General features: G+C 39.2%; 1 protein-coding gene across 3 annotated transcripts in view; it reads right to left on the bottom strand.

The window, feature by feature from the left end:
- FAR2 (fatty acyl-CoA reductase 2) overlaps nt 1-20162 on the bottom strand; it is a 186339-nt gene that overhangs the window by 125111 nt on the left and 41066 nt on the right. The window contains exon 1 of one of the 3 annotated variants that reach the window (XM_011520748.4): nt 1320-11938. The exons of 1 other annotated variant lie outside the window; for it this stretch is intronic. In XM_011520748.4, coding sequence (XP_011519050.1) covers nt 1320-1341 — 22 coding nt within the window. In that variant the 5' untranslated portion in view covers nt 1342-11938. Of the gene's footprint in view, nt 1-1319; nt 11939-20162 lie in introns of those variants that run through there. One more of the 3 variants, XM_011520747.3, reaches the window with a different exon arrangement.

Here is a 20162-nt window from a genome sequence, read left to right as displayed (position 1 = left end):
TACAATAAGGCCAAACCACTAGCAACTGAAGACATGGCTGGCCACTTATGGCATAGCTCTTCCTGACGACATGCACCTCTGGTGTGAGGTGGCACAAAGAACCTGGGCTTGGAAATCAGTCTTGAAATAGACACTTGCAAGGTCCCGACTTTGGATAGTATTTTTGAGTTTCTGTTACCTTGATTAGAGTATCTTAGAGTAAACACTGATAAACTGTCTAGCTTGTGATAATAATTGCTTTTTTTCTAAAACAGAATTAATTTAACTAATTAACTAATAAATATTTAATTAATTTATTTTGAGAGAGGTTCTCACTCTGTCACCCAGGCTGGAGTGCAGTGGCATGATCCTAGCTCTGTAGCATTGACCTCCGGGGCTCAATTGATCTTCCCACTTTCAGCCTCCAAGTAGCTGGGACTACAGGTGCACGCCACCACACCCGGTTGATTATTTTTATTTTTATAGAGACAGAGGTCTCCTTATATTGCCCAGGCTGGTCTTGAACTCCTGGGCTCAAGCAATCTTCCTGCCTCAGCTTCCCAAAGTGCTAGAATTACAGGTCTGGGTCACTGTACCCTGCCTAATAACAATTGTTATGATGCTGATGAGATGAAGTAAGAAAAGCATAAGAAACCATAAGAAATTAAATGAATTGCCAAAGTCACAAAATTAGTGTATGTAAATGAGTATTGTGAGGCAGGGCTGAAATTAAAATCAGCTCATCTGCTTTTTAGTTCACTATTCTTTCTTTTACGCATTCTTTTATTCTTTCTTTTACACACACAGACACACACACACACACACACACACACAGAGCAGACATCCTTCTTTGTAGCAGAAAAGAGTTGACATATTCTTACAAACTAGTGGCAAGGAAGCAAGCCCACAATATTCATTTCTACACAGCCAGCCTAGCAAACCCATCTTCCAGTTTTCCTCCAGCAGAACTGGAATTTCAAGGGCCAGCAGTAACTTCTTCCCAGGGTCAGAGGCAGTGAAATCACCACTCCTACTACTGACCCAACCTGACCTTTGAAAACTATTAAATGCTATCTGTCCTAAAGGAAGACACCACTTTATGAGCTGAACAGGTTCAGTTCTAGAAGACTTGGAGCCCAAGATAGTCCAACCTCAAAATCAATACATTGACGATTGACCTGATGCATCTTATCTAAGGTAAGAAAGAAGATAGTGAGAGAAGACTTTAAGCATAGGAATACACTTGTAAAATCAAAAGCATCTCTAAAGGCAATAACTGCTGAAAACACTGATGCCAGGGGACAGCATTTTGTTACTCATTAAAGTATATGATCTCTCACCTTCCTCTTTAGCTGGAAACATTATATGACCCTTGGACTCTTCCAGTGAAATTCCCCGTGGGTCTTCTTATTGCTTTTCCTGTGTAGTACTTTTTTTTTTTTTTAAGATTAGTTCAGGTCTGAATTACCTCCTGCCTGAATTTCTGCAATAGCCTCTGAGCCTGTCTTCTGACTTGCCTCGTTCTCCCTTTTGAGTAGTCTGTGTGTCTTCATCAGACTAAACCACCTAAAGCAGGTTGGTTTCCTCACATTAGCTTCTATTTTGCCACACCGAGGTTGCATTTTGCCATTGGAACATTCTCCCATGATTTTGCTCATTTTCCCCGCACTACTAAGAAATAAAATCCTACTCATTAGTCCAATTCTAGGTTTCAGATAAACACTCCAGTGCACACAATGATTTCCTTTTCAGAATGTGTCCTGCAGCTGTTGTAAACATCTCTCACTTTAGCATTCATTTACTCTCTAATTAGCTCATATTTTATAATTTTGTCTCCAGAGCTAGACTGGCCAACAGGTGGGCATTTTTTTTTTCTCTCTGGCACTCAGCTCAAGACCAGAGTTTTAATAAACACTTCCTGATACCTGAATAACGCAGAATTACACTTCTTGTGAAGCCAACCACAGTAAACCTTTGAGTAAAATCTGATGATAGAAATATAAATGATGTATAAACAATATAACAATTGTGATCATTACATAGTTGCATGCCACACCTTAAGAAAGGTTACACGGTAAAATTAAGAGGGAACATTTTCTGCCTCTTGGCCTCCTCTTTCAATGGACCAAGTAGTAGGACTGCAGTTCCCACCTCACCACAGTCTGGGCTGCAGACTGCCCTGTCTAGCCTGTGTCTGTTCAGTGATGCTGAGTGGGAGTAGAGGGTAGGAACTGAAACACTCTGTGGAGGTCACCAGCAGTGCCCATGGTCTTTAAACTTCAGTTCAGAGGAAGAAGGGCAGCAGGAGGATTTCCGTTGCTTTTAGAATGTAGTTTTTCTGCAGAGATGCTGCAATCATGCTCAAAGCTCTTGCCCAGCTAGGAAATGCTGAGCTTCTAGTCAGCTGCAAAGCAACACACTTCTTTTAATACTAATACACAAACTGACTTGAAATACTATTTTATATAAGTTTTTAAAACATATTTCATAGGGATGGGGATCTCGGTCTGTTGACTAGGCTGGGCTTGAGCTTCTGGACCCAAGTAATCCTCCTGTCCTGGCCTCCCAAAATGCTGGGACCACAGGTGTGAGCCACCATGCCTGGCCTAAATAAGTCTCACCATATGAATAAGCAAAGACTTACAGTTAATGTGCTGTGTTCAAGTTCCTGCATTAGGACAGTAGTGTGAAATTTATTTTCTTTAAAGGTCTAACAGAATTTTATCTGCAAAGAGTCTTATAAAGTGCCAGCTGTAAGCTGAAATATTTCCTTTTAGTTAGGCAGTCCTCTTCACAAATAATCTATCCCTATGTATCATCTGTCTATCTATCCATCCATCCATCCAGTCTGTTTCAGCCCAATATTAGCCATAATATGATCATAACTTTACCCAGGTCCATTCTTCAAAAAAGGGAAAAAGAGAAAAAAAAATCAGAGAAACGAGAACAAACCATAGTAGCAAGTAAATGGAAACTGTAGTGAAAGCATCCGTAATTCTGGAGGTGATAGTGCCGACTCCCTTTGTCCTTGTAAATGGGATGAGAACCCAGGGTGGCCTGCTTTACCTTGTTGGAGAGACTAAATTTGCTGCCTCTTGGTGACCCCTCCTGGCTACTACTCAGGGGAATTCTACATAGTACTTGTACTTTCTGAATCACATTCCCATAGTATCAGCCAGGATCCTGTATTTGAGAGAATGAGGAACTGGTGAAGTATTAGCATGTGTCTACACTTATTTCCTGTTAAACCGAAGTTTCTAAGCAGGGGGCCAGAGTGGGAAGTGAGGAAATACATGATACGGAGGAAAGCAAATATTTCTCCAGCTGAAAAAGTCAGGCGTTGTGGCTAAATTTACTCCATTGTCCTCAACAGAAGAAAGATTGTCAAATACGTTTCCAAATTCCTTGGCCTGGTATGCAAGACCATTTAAGAGTCAGATGCAACCTGACTTTTCTGCCTTCTCTCTTTTTTTCTCTCACACCAACTTTCTCCTACAACCAAACAAGCTTTGGTTGGCAGACCAAAGCTTGTTTGCTGAAACCTTTATGTCCTTCTTCAGACATTCCCACTCCTCTTCTGTGCCCGGCTGGTGGCATCCTATTTGGCATTTTTTGAAATCTTTCCAGATGGCCCTTATGTCCAGGGTGGGTTGAGAATCACTGACCTATCCGATGCTCACACCAAATCTGACTTCATCCCTGATGCCTGCCCACGCTACTCTGGGATGCCAGGTGTGTCTCTCTCCACCAAGCCCACTGTAGTTACATCAGTCCTTTGGCAAGTAAACATGAACTGCCTTATGTCATTTCATATTATCATCTTCTTTTATTCCTATTTAACACTTAGCCTATTCTTTCCCTTCCTTAAATGTCTGTGTGTCTTAATTCCCCAATTAGAGGCAGAAATTGTGAGAATTGAGTCCCACTGTGCCTTCCATTTAGTTAGGGGTCAATAAATATTTTTGATTGCCTGAAAGGGGCCAGAGGCACTAAAGCAAAGCCAAACCATTATTTTATCCATGACAGCCACAGATGAACTTTGTGGGAAAGTTGTGTGCCCTGTGGTACCATGGGGCAGGGCTCTCAGGGTCTGAGGCCTTGTGCCAGGTTAAATATATGCCAGCATCTGGAACATTTCAGTACATTTTCTCAATCAGTCTTAGCACAGATGAGCCAAGTATTTGTATCAGGTAAACTCTGGCGTCACCTTTGGAATATACTGGCTTAATTGCTCCTGGTACCAAATCTCGAAGGAATGTTGCAACAATCTGAAAAAGTTCAATAGGCAATAGAAGTCACTGTGATCCAATATGCAAAACCTGATGAAAGACAAGCTGCTTGGTTCAATTCTGCACAAGGGTGAGGACTGCTGGATCTTTGGGTGGTCCTCATCCATTCCCTTGGGAAACAAGTCAGACAAATAAGTGGTATAGAACCATTCTCACTGGCTGAATATGCTTCCCAGCAATGACTAGTGAGTATCTGAGAGTAAATGAAAGGGAAACACTATTTAATAAATTGCATCTTTATTATGCTTCTACTCCTGGGAGATAGCTACCATTAAGACATAATTCCTAGCCTCTAGTCAAAGTAGAGGGATTGGTTTTTTTAAAAATCAGCTTTTCATAATGAGCATCTAATCCCCACAATCCAGAAAAATAAAATACAGCTAATTAAAAAAAAAAAGCAAAAACAAGAATAAGTTCCGGACCTCTTTAATATTAAACATCTGCAGCCTCCTTTAACATTCAGCTGTGTGACATAGTTGCTATTTCCTAGAAATGGAGATTTCTGAATCACTGAGACCCTTTCAGACATCAAGGATGCTTCTTGTTTTCCCTCTATGTGAGAACCTTTGAGTTTGGGTAGTACTATTATTTCATCCAGATTTAAAGGACCATGAAGCTTTTTTTCCATTTCATTGGCCTCCTTGTCTTCAGAACCTGTTCTGTAGCCTCTGGTAGCATTTGGCTGCACTATCACCACATACCTACCAAAACAGCAGGAGCTTAAAGTGTGGAATAGATTTTAGTATCCACATGTCATTCATTTTTTTCTTCTCTTTTAACCATTCAACAAACACTATGATGTGGAAATTTTGTGCTTCAGATCAGCAGAACACGTAGGGTAAGAGAACAAATTTTGGTATAACACATCAAGAACACTGGAAATTATCAGACATGTTCTTTGCTGAGACTAGATAAAATAATGCTTTATCCCTGTTTGACAGACCTCTATCCATACCTCTGAAAATCTCTGTAATAATTCAGATCTGGTAAGCGACAAACAAGTACTATTTCCTGGACACAGTAAAATGCATAAACTTGTAGTAACATACCCAGTCACAGCAACAAGGGTGATTTGCATATGGTGGGTTCCACTGTATAAGTCAATGGAGAACCTCAAATTTCTCCATGAAAGCAACAATGTAAAAAGTTTTGTAATTATTTTGATATCATAAATGGACCATCACTAAGATTCCATCAAGAAAAAGATCTTGTAAGAGCACATGGCAGCTGAGCAGGTATAGAGCTTGATATGGTTTGGATCTGTGTCTCCACCAAATCTCATGTTGAATTATAATCTCCATTGTTGGAGGTGGGGCCTGGTGGGAGGTGATGGGATCATGGGAGTGAAGTTCTCATGAATGGGTTAGCACCATCTCCTTGGTGCTGTTCCCGTGATAGTGAATGAGTGAGTTATTCTGAGATCCGGTTGTTTAAAAGTGTGTAGCACCTCCCCGCTTCCACCCATTTCCTCCTGCTCTGGCCATGTAAGATGTGCCTGCTTCCTCTTCCCCTTCCGCCATGATTGTTACCTAAGGCCTTTCTAGAAGCAGAAGCCAATATGCTTCCTGCACATCCTGCAGAACCGTGAGCCAATCAAACCTATTTCCTGTGTAAATTACCCAGTCTCTCGTATTTCTTTATAGCAGTGCAAGATTGGACTAAGATGGAGCCCAATCTCACCCCAGGGCCTTTGCACAGGCCTTCTGTGGAGACCACACCTTACAAAGATAGTTTCTGCTTTACACTTAAAGTCTAAGCTTTAAATGCCTCATCCCCATAGAGGCCCTCTTAAACACCCTATGTAGAGTAAATGAGTCCTCATGTTACTATCTGTCAGATTCATGTTAATTATCTTCCCTATGGCAATTTGGCATTGTTTCATTTTATATGTACCTCTTGATATCACCCCATTAGAATATCATCCCTGTGAAGACAGGGGCCGTGTCTTCACTGTCTCTTCAGGGCCAACATAGTCCTGGTTTAGAGGAGGTACTTGAAAAAAAAATGTGAAAAAATCTGCATCTGTCTGGAGAACAAATTTATTTCCATTTTGTACGCAGACATCTTTCCCACTTGCTGCTATACTCAAATAGCAGAAAAAAGTTGCTGCAAGTTGACTGTGCTACTTGCCAAGTTATTGATTACAAAATCATGCTGGGTTTTACCACTTTGGATTCTACTGAAAGGCTACACTTTACCTCTGACATAATTTTCTTTTTTTTTTTTTTTTTTTTTTTTGAGATGGAATCTCACTCTCTCTCCCAGGCTGGAGTGTGGTGGCGCAATCTCGGCTCACTGCAAGCTCCGCCTCCCAGGTTCACGCCATTCTCCTGCCTCAGCCTCCCGAGTAGCTGGGACTACAGGCGCCCGCCACCACGCCCGGCTAATTTTTTTGTATTTTTAGTAGAGACGGGGTTTCACTGTGTTAGCCAGGATGGTCTCGATCTCCTGACCTCGTGATCCACCCTCCTCTGTCTCCCAAAGTGCTGGGATTACAGGCGTGAGCCACCGCCCCCGGCCGACATAATTTTCATCTACCTGAGAATCTTCTACCATTTATGAGCTTCTGGTGGTTCTCACACACCATGCCCAATTGTATCCTTCACTCCTACACCAAAATATAGTTTTTCATTCAGGTAAAACAATATTGTGGGGAATGAAATGGATTCAGTCACCTCAGAGGTGGATGACCATACAGGCCTAATACAATTGCTGTGACTTAGAGATTTTCTTGGGCCCAAGTATAAGTATGTAGACCATTCCCACTAATTACATTTCACACCAGGAACTCATCTTGGATGATTCTATCATGTGTACCAAAAACCAAGAATTATTACCTCTCAACTAGGTAATACTTCTTTGCAAAGGAGGGTAGGTGTGCAGCATAAATCGCTTTCCTGCAAAAACGATAAATGCAAAGCAGTTACACTGTGGTAGGAGAATTACTTTATTTTAATTTTCATGTGTGTGGCTTAAGGAAGAGAGTCCTGGCTTGTTAGAATGTCACATAAACCAAAGACCACAACTTTAAGATAAAAATTTAACAAAATGAAATTTTATAAAGTGCTCCTCTTCTCTGTAAAATACAAAATATCAGTTCTTTCTTTAGAAGTCATCTTTAAGGTAAACTATAAAACCACTTCTAATGTCGTTTCCATAAATTCTCAGGGTCTTATGTATAAGTTGACCAAAATAGCATCCATCTTCTAGAAAAAGATTACTGAGACTAATTTCTTTTATGATTCTCAGATTTTCTATGAAGATATTTCTAGAATGAATTTGGGATCATTGTTTCACTGGAATGTCCTGTGTGTTAGTTTGCATTGCTATAAAGTGATACCCGAGACTGGGTAATTTACAAAGAAAAGAGGTTTATTTGGCTCACGGTTTTGCAGGCCAAACAGGAAGCATAGTGCCAGCATCTGCTTCTGAGGAAGCCTCAGGAAGTTTACAAGCATGGTGGAAGGTGAAGGAGAGCCAGTGTCTCACATGGAGAGAGAGGGAGCAAAAGAGAGGGAAGGAGGTTCCAGGCTTCTTTAAACAACCAGCTTTGGTGTGAACTAAAAACAAGAACTCCTCTCATTACTGCAAGGATGGCATCAAGCCATTTATGAGGGATCCGCCCCCATGACCCAAACACCTCTTACCAGGCCCGACCTCCAACACTGGGGATTACATTTTACCATGAGATTTGGAAGGGACAAATATGCAAACTAGATCTTACTGCTAGTGCCTGTCAGACTTGTTTTTTAATAGCAAGGAAATAAATGACTCTATCAGTACGTTCTTAAAAGTTGGTAGTGATGACTGCCACCATGTTGATCTGTTAAATAAATGTCCATTTGAGAATACAAACAGCTTTTTGAGGAGTCTAGAAGTTTCTGCCATTATCTTCTGGGTATACCCCAATGATCATGTACTATATTTTACTTGCAAAAAAGAAAATATAACCATGTGGTGATTTTTGGAAAGCAGCTTTGAACAGGTAGATTTTGGACCAGATAGATGTGAGTTTGTGTCACTTGTCCTCTCCTAACCCTATTTTCCTGCTTTGTAAAATGATGGTGACAACATAAGATAATTAATAGAAAATAATAATAATAATAAATTAGCAATAAGTATAACTAATATAAAGCACTTAGAGCACTGAAGATGCTGACTGAAAGTTAATTACCTCTTTTTAAAAATTATATCAAATACACAAAAAAATCCTCTATGTGGTATAATATAAATTGTGCACTATTGCAGAGGAACTCACTTATTTCCTGAGAGTCATCATCCAAAGCCGAGAACTAACAGAAACAATCAACAGTCTTCTGGTGCAGTGCTGTCCAATAAAACTTTCTGTAGTGGTGGAAATCTGCACTGTCCAATACAGTAACCACTAGCCAAACGACTTAGCACTTAAAAGGTGGCTAGTGTGACTGGAAAATTGAGTTTTTATTTTTATTTAATTTTAATTAATTACATTTCAATTTTATATAGTGACATGTGGCTAATGGCTATTATACTAAACAGTGCAGTTCTAGTGAAATAATGGGCTCAGGTTTGACCCAGGTATAGCAAAGTCATCAGTCACAATTCAAAACATGAATAATGCCATTATACACATTATGGTGAATTCATCTTATAAGTTTCACTGTAATACACAATAGGAAGTAAAGTTCTTCCCTTGATGAGTCTATTACTTGACCTCCATTTATGCCCCGGACTCAAGTCTACATATAGAGGAAGAAGGCACTTGAGTTAAGGGGCCAGATGGTTTGGTATAACTGTCTGAAATCAGGCTGGTAACATTTTCCTTGTCCAAAATGATGACAGCGTATATGAAGGAGACCTCAAACTCCCTTTCATATCTTGTTCAGAAGGTATCTGTATTCAAATACAAATATATGCTCACACGTATGTAAAGGGCAGTAGATGTCTATAAGAATTGTGTTTAAAACAAACATGTCTTGTGAAGACCTAAAGAAAAGACTGTAATTCTAAGAGGGCAGGCTCAGGTGCAAATAATGGCAGCATCTGTGAAACAGTAAGAGGAATGAGAAACAAACCAAAATGTATCCAGATTCAAAACAGGAGGAGAGAGAGGAAACCTTCAAGCAAAAGGAAGACGGAAAGGAAGATGATGTATAGGGCATCCAAATGCTAGACAGGGTGGAAGGGATAGTTGCGGCAGCACTCCTCTCAAGGGGGCACCAGCTGCAGGGAGTCTGTCCCTTGCAGACCCCTGACCTGGTGACGGATGAATAAAGTACACTGACACACAGATATTCTCCTCTGCCAGTCCAGCTGTGTTCGAGCCGCTTATAGACTCCCTGCTGAGTCCTGTAAACAGTTGCGACTGGCCCTGATCAGCTAGTCAGACTCACATTTATTCAGTAAGATTAATTAACAAAAGCTTGAGTCAACACCATTAGAGGGTAATTGACATTGTGGGCTTCCTGAGTAAAACGCACTTAAGCACCCACGGTACATCAAAGGTTAGTCTTAAGATTATATGAGTAAACAAGTTAGCTAGGTAAACTACTCTTCCTTTATTGCTATTTTAATTTGTTTAACTAAAGGTAAAGGGATCAGGCTGCCTCCAGCCAGATCTATTACCAAAGTTATGCAAACTTCTCAGCCTTCCAACAAGATTTGTGTCTATTTCTATAACTATCTCTAATATTTTTCCCACCAGCCTGATTGAACCCCAACAGACAGTGGCTGGGGTCAAGCACCTTCAAGAGGTAGGAGAGAGAGAGCATCCCAAATTTAGAAGAAGACTGATTGTCGAATACTTTCAGATCCCATGTACCTTACTTCTGAGTCATAGTTGACAGCCGTGCCACTCTTTCGGCTTTGAAACTCTATTCTCTTCGTTTCTACACCACTTGATTTCTTCTTATCTGCCTGGTGGCTCCTTCTTAGTCTCCTTGCCAGCTGATTTTTCACTGCTGGCCTCATGGCATGGTTTGGGGAGGCTGTGTACTGCCCAGCACCAGGGAGTACCATTCACACTGTAATCTTCATAAATTCATTATAATGACTTTCTGGCCGATAGCAATAAAGGTGCTTTCTAATTCACATAAAGGCACCATATGGCCTAGAAGTCCCCCAGTTTGGTCCTTAAGAAGGCCTTCCCTTAAGTGCCACCCTTAACCCTTGTTTGTTTTCATTTTTAATGAAACTACTGATGATGTCACTCATAGAGCTTCAACTATGATGACTCTTAAATCGATATATTATCATAGCCCATACTTCTCTCCTGAGCCTTAAACTCACATCTAATTGGGTTTTCTACTACTCTATTCAGATGTCTCAGTGGCACTACCAATACAACATATTTTAAAAAATGAATCAATCTCTAATCCTGATTAATGCCACCATCTTACTCCTGGTCACTCTAGCCAGAAACACGAGACTTATCTCCATCTCACTTACTCCTCACATAAGATCAATCTATAAAGTCTGGAGAACCTGCCTCAGTCAACCTCTTTCACGTGTGTCGCTTCCACATTCTTACCGCAAGTGCTTGAGACCTCTGCCTGCCATCTTTTATGTGAATATGTGAATCTTGTCCATTCTGCCTCCACACTGCTGCCAGTGAGATCTTTTGTTTGTTTGTTTCTTTTCTTTCTTTTTTTTTTTTTTTTGAGACGGGGTCTCGCTCTGTCCCCCAGGCTGGAGCGCAGTGGAGCGATCTCGGCTCACTGCAAGCTCCGCCTCCCGGGTTCACGCCATTCTCCTGCCTCAGCCTCCAGAGTAGCTGGGACTACAGGCACCCGCCACCACGCCCGGCTAATTTTTTTGTATTTTTAGTAGAGACGGGGCTTCACCATGTTGGCCAGGATGGTCTCAAACTCCTGACCTCGTGATCCACCCGCCTCGGCCTCCCAAAGTGCTGGGATTACAGGCGTGAGCCACCGCGCCCGGCTGAGATCTTTTCAAAATGCATATATGTTCATTTCATTCTCTTGCTGACAGTTCTTTAATTTTTATGCCTTGTTAATATGATTCACGATAAAATTTGAATTCCTGATTGTGTCATACACTATGGCATATGTGAGCTGGCCTGCATGCATTTCCATTTTCAGCTTCTACCCTTTCTCCTAACATATGCCCACACTTGAGTCATACCTATTACCTTTGGCTTCCTTAACAGGCCCAGCTCAACCACTAAGACTGAGCTGATGTCCTTTACCTTTACAGTGGTTACTGCAATTGTTTGCACATCTGTCTTCTCCTTTAGACTTTAAGTACATTGAGAACAGGAATATGATTTTTATCTTTGTATCTCTGCCACTTGCCTAGCACCTGGCACACAGAATAAATGATTGACAAGAAGATAGATAAATGCAGAGGTCAAATAGAAGAGAAAAGGAGGAAATTAATGAACTTCAAATGCCTCTGGATGATCATGAGAGGCAGGGGGTGCGATGAGGGGGCATAGGAAAGAAAATAGTGGTTATGACGCAGAAAGTATCTTTAAATCTAAAAATAATTGTGGTCTTTTCCTACCTTTCTAGGTAGAAATATAGAGTTGATTGTAGCATTGTTTCACAGAGATCTAAAATTTTTATGCTTCAGTTTTTAAAAAAATGTTCAAAAGGAAAAAAAATCAAAACATGAATGCTCTAAAGCCTTTGTCTTCTAACAAAGCTATGAACATTACTGATAAACATAAAGGGAAGATGGTATGATTTAAATGTAAAAGAATAATGGGAGAGGCCAGGCGCGGTGGCTCACACCTGATATCCCAGCACTTTGGGAGGCCGAGGCAGGCGGATCAAGAGGTCAAGAGATTGAGACCATCCTGGCCAACGTGGTGAAACCCTGTCTCTACTAAAAATACAAAAATTAGCTGGGCATGGTGGCAGGTGCCTGTAGTCCCAGCTACTCCGGAGGCTGAGGCAGGAGAATGGCATGAACCTGGGAGGTGGGGCTTGCAGTGAGCAGAGATCATGCCCGGCTGCACTCCAGCCCGGCAACAAAGTGAGACTCAGTCTCAAAATAAAATAAAATTAAGTTAAAATTAAAATAAAAAACAGAATAATGGAGAGAATATAAATATATCACCTATGCGCAAAACTGTGTCAAAACAGTAAGCATAAAAAGAAACTCTCCAAGCATGTTTTTTGCTTTTCTTTTTTCTCATTAAAAATTTGTTATTTTGAAAGTACACAGCTGTTCGCAGCTATAAATAAAGAGGCAGCAATGTCACATCTACTTGAAATACATTTAATGTCACCATTACACTTAATATAATCATTACATTTAATATCACCATTAAGCTATGTTGATCATTTGCTCTATGTTCAATCCATAGAGATGAGTTTTGGTTCATACAAATGGTCTTATATTAAGTCTGAGATTTTGCTTTTTCTTGAGTTCAAATATCTGAGGTATGTCTACTTGCTTGATAGCCATGATCAACAGAGCCTCTGATACAATACTTCATTTCTTAAATGAATACTCAGAGAGTTTTGAAAGAAGTCAATGCTCCACATCATTAGTTTAAGGTATAATGAAACCATAGGCTAGAAACTGCCTTTCATAATTTCAATTATAGATATTTAAAAAATATATTAATTAAACTTTTTGTTAAGTTTAAAAAGTTTTACTGGATCCATATTTTGCTTCATTTGTATCCTTCTCTATAGTATCAAACATTCAGGAAGTGCTCAACAAATACTTGGGCAAATTATCTAATCTTTCTGAGCCTCAGTTTACTCATCAACGAAATGGGATTAATACCCCTATCATAAGTTGTTGGAAGATTAAATGAGATAGTGCTTTGTACTGTTCCTGGAACATGGCAAACCACCCAATCAAAGGTTGCTATTATTATTTGCATACCTGATCCTTGTAAGCCTTGCCTAAGTAGCCTTTTAATTCTCAACATATTCCTGTAAGTGTAAGACTGTACATCTCTTTAACAGGGTGGTATTAGCTGAGTTACAAAATACAACGACAGATTCTCTTGGAAACTCTAAATGAACATAGCCAGTCAATAATGAGAAACTGCTCTAGTAAGGACTAAGTAGCTTATGAAACAAACTTTCCCTTTTGAAATAATGTTTACCTGCCAAACAGGCTAAAGTTAGTATTGAATAGCATAATACCGTTATGCTATTCATACATTATAGGTCAAATGCAAATGTTGCTTCATGCCTATTTTCTCTCCACCAAGGATTTTCGTCAATTCTCACACAAATGTATGACTTCAAATAGATTAAGAAGCACTAGACTGCTGGAGGCAAGAATCTACTTTGTTCTTTTACTTATAAGCATATTTAAAAATATACAGTTTACTTTTTAATGAGATGGTTTTTCTGGTTGTTGTTCTTGAGCTGTCTGTGTCCCTTGTAGATTCTAGATATTAGTCCCCTGTTACATGCATAGTTTAAATACTTTTTCCCATTCTGCAGGTTGTCTGTTCACTCTGTTATTTCTTTTGCTGTGCAGAAGCTTTTTAGTTTAATCAAATCCAATTTGTCTATTTTTGTTTTCATTGATTGTGCTTTTGAGATCTTACTCATGATTTTTTTTGCCTAGGCCAATGTCCAGAAGTTTTTCCTAAGTTTTCTTCTAGTATTTTTGTAGTTTCATGTCTTACATGTAGGTCTTTAATCCACCTTGAGTTGCTTTTTTTATATGGTGAGAAATAGGAGTCCAGTTTCATTCTTCTGCATAAGGAAATTCAATTTTCCTGGAACCAACTCCATTAAAAAGTAGGCAAAGGACATGAACAGATATTTTTCAAAAGAAGACATACACATGGCCAACAAGCATATGAAAAAATACTCACATCACTACTTATCAGAGAAATGCAAATTAAAAGCACAATGAGACATCACCAGGTGCCAGTCAGAATGGCTACTATTTAAAAAGTCAAAAAATAACAGATGCTGGTGAGGATGCAGAGAAAAGAGAATGCTTATATACTGTTGATGGAAATGTAAATTAGTACAACCTCTATGGAAAACAGTAGGCAGATTTCTCAAATAACTAAACATAGAAATCCAGCAATCCACTACCGAGTATCTACCCAAAAGAAAAGAAGTCATTCTATAAAAAAAGGCACCTGCACTTGTATGTTTATCACAAAACTATTCATAATAGCAAAGATATGCAATCAACCTAAGTGATCATCAATGGATAATTAGATAAAGAAAATATGTCATGTACACAATGGAATACTATTTGGCCATAAAAAAATGAAATCATGTCTTTTGCAGCAACATGAATGAAACTGTAGGCCATTATCTTAAGTGAAACAGCAGAAACAGAAAGTCAAATACAGCATGTTCTCACTTATAAGTGGGAAGTAAATAATGTGTACACATGGACATACAGAGTGGAATGATAGACAATGGGGACTCAGAAGGACGAGGGGAAGGTAAGGGATGAGAAATTACTTAACGGATAAAATGTACATTATTTGAGTGATAGTTACACTAAAAGCCCAGACCTCACTGCTATGCAATATATCCATGTAATACTTGAAAGGAGTGCACTGGCACTCCTTAAATATATGAGAATAAAAAACAATAAAAAATAAACAGTTTTAAATAAATCCTTTAAGAAGAGGTTTTTCTCTGAATCTCCACTATTTTTGCAGTTGTTTTTCAAATGTATTCTGAATATTTTCTATTTCTCTTTGAGTATATTCTTTTGTTCTCAGCATAGATATAGGACCATCAGCCACAGTCCTTCAGAATTGATCTCATCTTTACTACTTTACTCTTTATGCATCACATAATTATTACTAGGAATTTTCTCTGCTGTTACCAATATTCCACAATATATACATTTTTATCCTTTTAAATGGTGACATGGAAGAGTAGGGTCAGTGTTTTGTAATAACATTCAGGATGAGACTTCATAAGCAACAGAAAGAAGACACTGTCATCCAGTTTGTTAAAATACTGAAAGTAATTGTAGATGGTAGATAGTAGTTTCCTTGGAACACTATGAGTTAAAATAGTCTTATTCTACCCATAACAGATGAGATTTACTAACCTGAAGAAATTACCAAAAAAGATGTATTGACACCCAGTTTAAAGTGCAAGAAGGACTGCGTCAGAAAATGTATTGACATCTCCAACATCAAATAATGTTTTGAAGAAAAATGTATAAACAGAAGTAAATAGCAAGAATTTATAGGGCTTCTCTTTCCTAACAGTGATCAAAAGGTAGAGACACAAAAGCCTCATATGCTGGAATCCAAAAAGGCTTACATTGTTGTGAGACAGAGATGCCACTTAGACTTAACCATTCATAGTATGGACCATTTCAAGAGGGGTCACCATACTTTGCTTCAATTCCATGTTAACTAAACAATCTTTTTCTTGCTAATCTGAACACCCTGTGCAATAGAGTCTGACTCCATTTTTTGACGTTTGACTGCAGACATCTTTTCAGCCTAACCCTTCCATCTTCTCTTTCTGTCCAACACTGGGGCAAGCTGACAAAAATCCTCAGGTGCTCCTCTTCTGTAACCAGCAGTAAGTTCGAATCATACACTGCCACCCTCACCCCAACCCTGTCCCTTAACCACATTAAAACCCAAAGCCAGTCTCCTTTAATTTTATCCCAGCTCTCTCAAGACATTTTCAACTTGAGATGCCTATCCTGCTTTCTCCAGAAAGCATCATTATGGGAGTAATAAACCTCTTCATACCCTCCTGTGGTGTGTGTGTGTGTGTGTGTGTGTGTGTGTGTGTGTGTGGCATCACTAGCCTGGAAACCTAAATCAAATTTTGGATGGAGGTCTGTTCCAACTTTATGGACTAGCCACAATACCCAGTCAACATGATCTTAGAAAGTGGGTCTCATGGAATGCAGGCACAATCATATCAGTACCTAGGAAGAAATGCGCATTTAGCTTAAACATCAATTTTTCACGAGTTCACATACTGGGAATCCATTCCATTGAATCTAGTCAATGCTAACATGATGCTGAGACTGAATTTCAGAACCTGAGAAGTTGAAGATTCGTTCTGAAATTTGGTAACCTGTCCAATGGACTACTAGAAGACATCTTGACTTTTTGTTTCTATTAACTATAAAGGAAACACAGTTTTATTCCTCTAGGAAATAATATATACTCCATTTGAAGGAACAGTTCTACATTAGGATGAGCAAGCTTAAATGTCTGCAGGGGTCAATGGTTAACCTACGGAGAGAGCAAGAGAAAATTGACATGCCAAGATTTTGTATTATAACTTAGAATAACATGTCTCTAGTACATTGCCTATTGAAATACTATATTGTGCTTAAAAAGGCAATGTAACAACTCCACACCAATTAGAACCCCAAATCCCAAACACATACAACACCAAATGATGGTGAGAATGTGGAGCGATAGGAACTCTCATTCATTAATGGTGGGAATACAAAATGGTACAGCTACTTTGGAATACAGTTTGGCAGTTTCTTACAAAAGTAAACATGCTCATACCATATGATTCAGCAATTATGCTCCTTGGTATTTACCCAAAAGAGGTGAAAATTTATGTCCACACAAAAACCTGCACACAAATGTTGATAGCAACTTGATTCATAATTGCCAAAATTTGAAAGCAACTAATATGTCCTTCAGTAGGTGAGTGAATAAACAAACTGTAGTATCTTTAGACAATGGAATATAATTCAGGGCTAAATGGAAATGAGCTATCAAGCCATGAGAAGACATGGAGGAAACTTAAAAGCATATTACTGAGTGAAAGAAGCCATTCTGAAAAGGCTACATACTGTCTGATTCCACTTACATGACACTCTGTAAAAGGCAGAACTATCGAGGCAGTAAAAATGATCAGTGGTTGCTAGGGGTTAGGGAGAGGGAGGAATGGATAGATGGAGCACAGAGGATTTTTAGGGCAGTGAAACAGCTCTGTAAGATACTATAATGGTGGAAACATGTTATTAAACATTTGCCCAAACCTATAGAAAGAACACCACCAAAAGTGAACCCTAATGTAAACTATGGATTTTGGGTGATAATGATGTGTCCATACAGGTTCACCAGTATAACAAATATACCACTCTTGTGTAGGATATTGATAATGGGGAGGCTGTGCATGTGTAGGGGCACAGGGGATATGGGAACTCGCTGAACTTTCCATTTAATTTTGCTGTGAACCAAAAACTGCTAAAAAAAAATAAAAGCTTTAAAAAAATGGTATTTCAAGGTCAGCTTTTGACCCTCTGCTATAAATGCTAGGGTAGAAAAGTTGCTAGCTAAAAATTTAAGAATCTTAATCACGTTGTTAACAAATGAAAAAGACATCTCTTAATATGTACGGTGTGGATGATAATTACACATTTGTATATAAATACAAAAATTGTCACTAAAGAAACCGAAGCATTTGTTTTGAGTCTCTTGCTTTCCATTTCCCTTTCATTTTTATTTATGCCAACCAGACTCCTGTGCTTCATGAACTGTTATAAAAGCTGATGCTCAATTAATCGACCTCATCCCTTACACAGACAAATTAGTTGATGTTGGTATTTCATGCACAAATGCAATGTTTTATGGAATGTTGAGCTACTTTGTAAACATATAACAAATATCACTTGTCATATGTTTATATATAATATAACAAATATTATTTGCTGTATAGAAATCTGCAAATATACAGATACTGTTTAAAGAACTCAGGGGTTTAGAGTTACCCAAAACTAGGTTCAAATACTGATTTCACCAGTAGGTAACCACGTAAATTGGGAAAGTTGGTTCACAACATCTGCCATATGGAGAATCCTAAAGATGAAAAGAAGATTGCATATATAAAGCATCCATCATAGTGCCCAGGACACAGGAGGTGCTTAATAAATATAACCTCTTTCCTTTCCAAGGTAGTCTTCTTGGCTTCTTTGGGTTTTAGTACTCTGAAACCTTGTAGGGGCTTCATGCGTCCAATTGTTCACATTTACTCAGAATATTCACATTTGCAAAATCATAAAATGTGCATAAATCAAATTTGCATCCGTTTAATTTATTTAATTTGTGGAAATGCAATAACAAAACAATGGAGAGAATTATTCACTGTGGTGTGCAATTCACTTATTTTTTAATTTCATGTGATTTGAATTCGGTGAGATAATTAATGATGGTTATTTCTCACACATGGCTACTCACTGGGCCATAGCTATTTTTCTCCTACTACTTTCTGAAAGTCACTGGAAAGCTAACTGTTTAGAGGCCCTAGCCAAAAGTCCTAATCAACCAATACAAATAGTCAGGCAACTGACTTTCTGATAAGTAAGAGTCCACTATTTATTTTAAAGGAGTAGTAGTCTCTATACAAGAATTTGTTACCTTGCCTTGAAAAGCATTGTTACAAGACAATTTTGAAGAAGTGAGCTCTGATGCTAGGAGTGGATGAGATTTTGAAAGGAATCAAGCTTTCTTCATTCTCCTTCTTAAACAATTTTTAGTTCAAGTTACTCTCCCTGAAAGCCTGAAGCAAAGCCGCATACACCAGGTAAATGCAAGAGCCTGTTAATGCAATGTTATGGCTGAACATGTAAGTGTATCAAAGGTCAAGTTTCACTTACAGTTCCCATAGCAATTATAATTTAGCCACTTAACACTTCAGTGGTAACCATCCTCAGAGTATACACAAACAGAGAAAGCATTCCTGCAGTAGCTCTAGGTGTTTCTGTCAAGTACAAGTTTTGGCTATTATGTTGCATTTGTTTTTAGTGTCTTTACACACATCGGTGTTTCAAAAGCATCATATTTAACTTCTGTCACTGAAAGCTCGTCTAACCGGCCTTACTGTCTCAATGGTGATGTCTTCAGCCACACATAATCTTGCGATTGTCCATTTCAGTTCATATATGGCATTACAAGTTTTCTCCTTACACTTTTATGGAGAATCACCTGTGACAAATCCTCCTAAGCATATTGAAAGGCTGTTTTACTCCCTTTTCCCTTGCGGGGCTGGTAGGAGCCTGGCTCAGGGTAGAGATGGGGGAAATGCAGACAGGACTGGAGAAATGCGCAAGACTTGGAGATCTGGCCTGTTTATCTGAGACTTTGTTTTCTATTTTGGTTAGGAAGGGAAAGAAGTCCCTGATCATAAATGTGTCTGCAGATTTTCTACAGGTCCTTTTCAGCTAGGTATGGAAAGCACTGTAGTGCTCTTCCACTGCCTACTCCCAGAGCTAGCTCACTTCTCTCTGTCTCTTCAGAAAGCTGTTCACAGACCCAGGGAGGGAAATGAGGACAGGGGCAGGAATGAGTTTTCAATTGGAGCCTCATGAAAACAGAACAGAACATTGTATTTCAGAAGAAGAGAACACCCATTAATCCCAAAGAGTTGATTTAATAAATGTTGAATCATCTCCAGTTGCCTCCCCAAAGCAGTAACAAAACAAAATTAATGTAAAAATTGAAATTCTTCTGATTGTCAGTGGAACCTCAAGAGCAGTGAGGAAATGTGTGATGCGGACATCTCAGATAAAAACCACCGTGAATTTTGGCCGGGCGCGGTGGCTCATGCCTGTAATCCCAGCACTTTGGGAGGCCGAGGTGGGTGGATCACCAGGTCAGGAGATGGAGACCATCCTGGCTAACACAGTGAAAACCCGTCTCTACTAAACTACAAAAAATTAGCCGGGTGTGGTGGTGTGCGCCTATACTCCCAGCTACTCAGGAGGCTGAGGCAGGAGAATCCCTCTAACCCGGGAGTCGGAGATTTCAGTGAGCTGAGATTGCACCACTGCACTCCAGCATGGGCAACAAGAGGGAAACTCCGTCTCAATAAATAAATAAATTAATTAATTAATTAAAAATAAAACTACTATGAATCTTGAACTCTAGCAGAGAAGTGAAATCACCTCTGCTGGCTCCTCCTCTGCTCAGCCTCTAAATGCTGAAGTGTCTTGTCTTGGGACTCA

Source organism: Homo sapiens, chromosome 12 (genome assembly GCF_000001405.40).
Source record: "Homo sapiens chromosome 12, GRCh38.p14 Primary Assembly".
In the NCBI taxonomy this organism is placed as follows: Eukaryota; Metazoa; Chordata; class Mammalia; order Primates; family Hominidae; genus Homo; species Homo sapiens.
The sequence above is the reverse complement of the archived record's forward strand: the minus strand, read 5'-3'. Positions and strand labels throughout refer to the sequence as shown.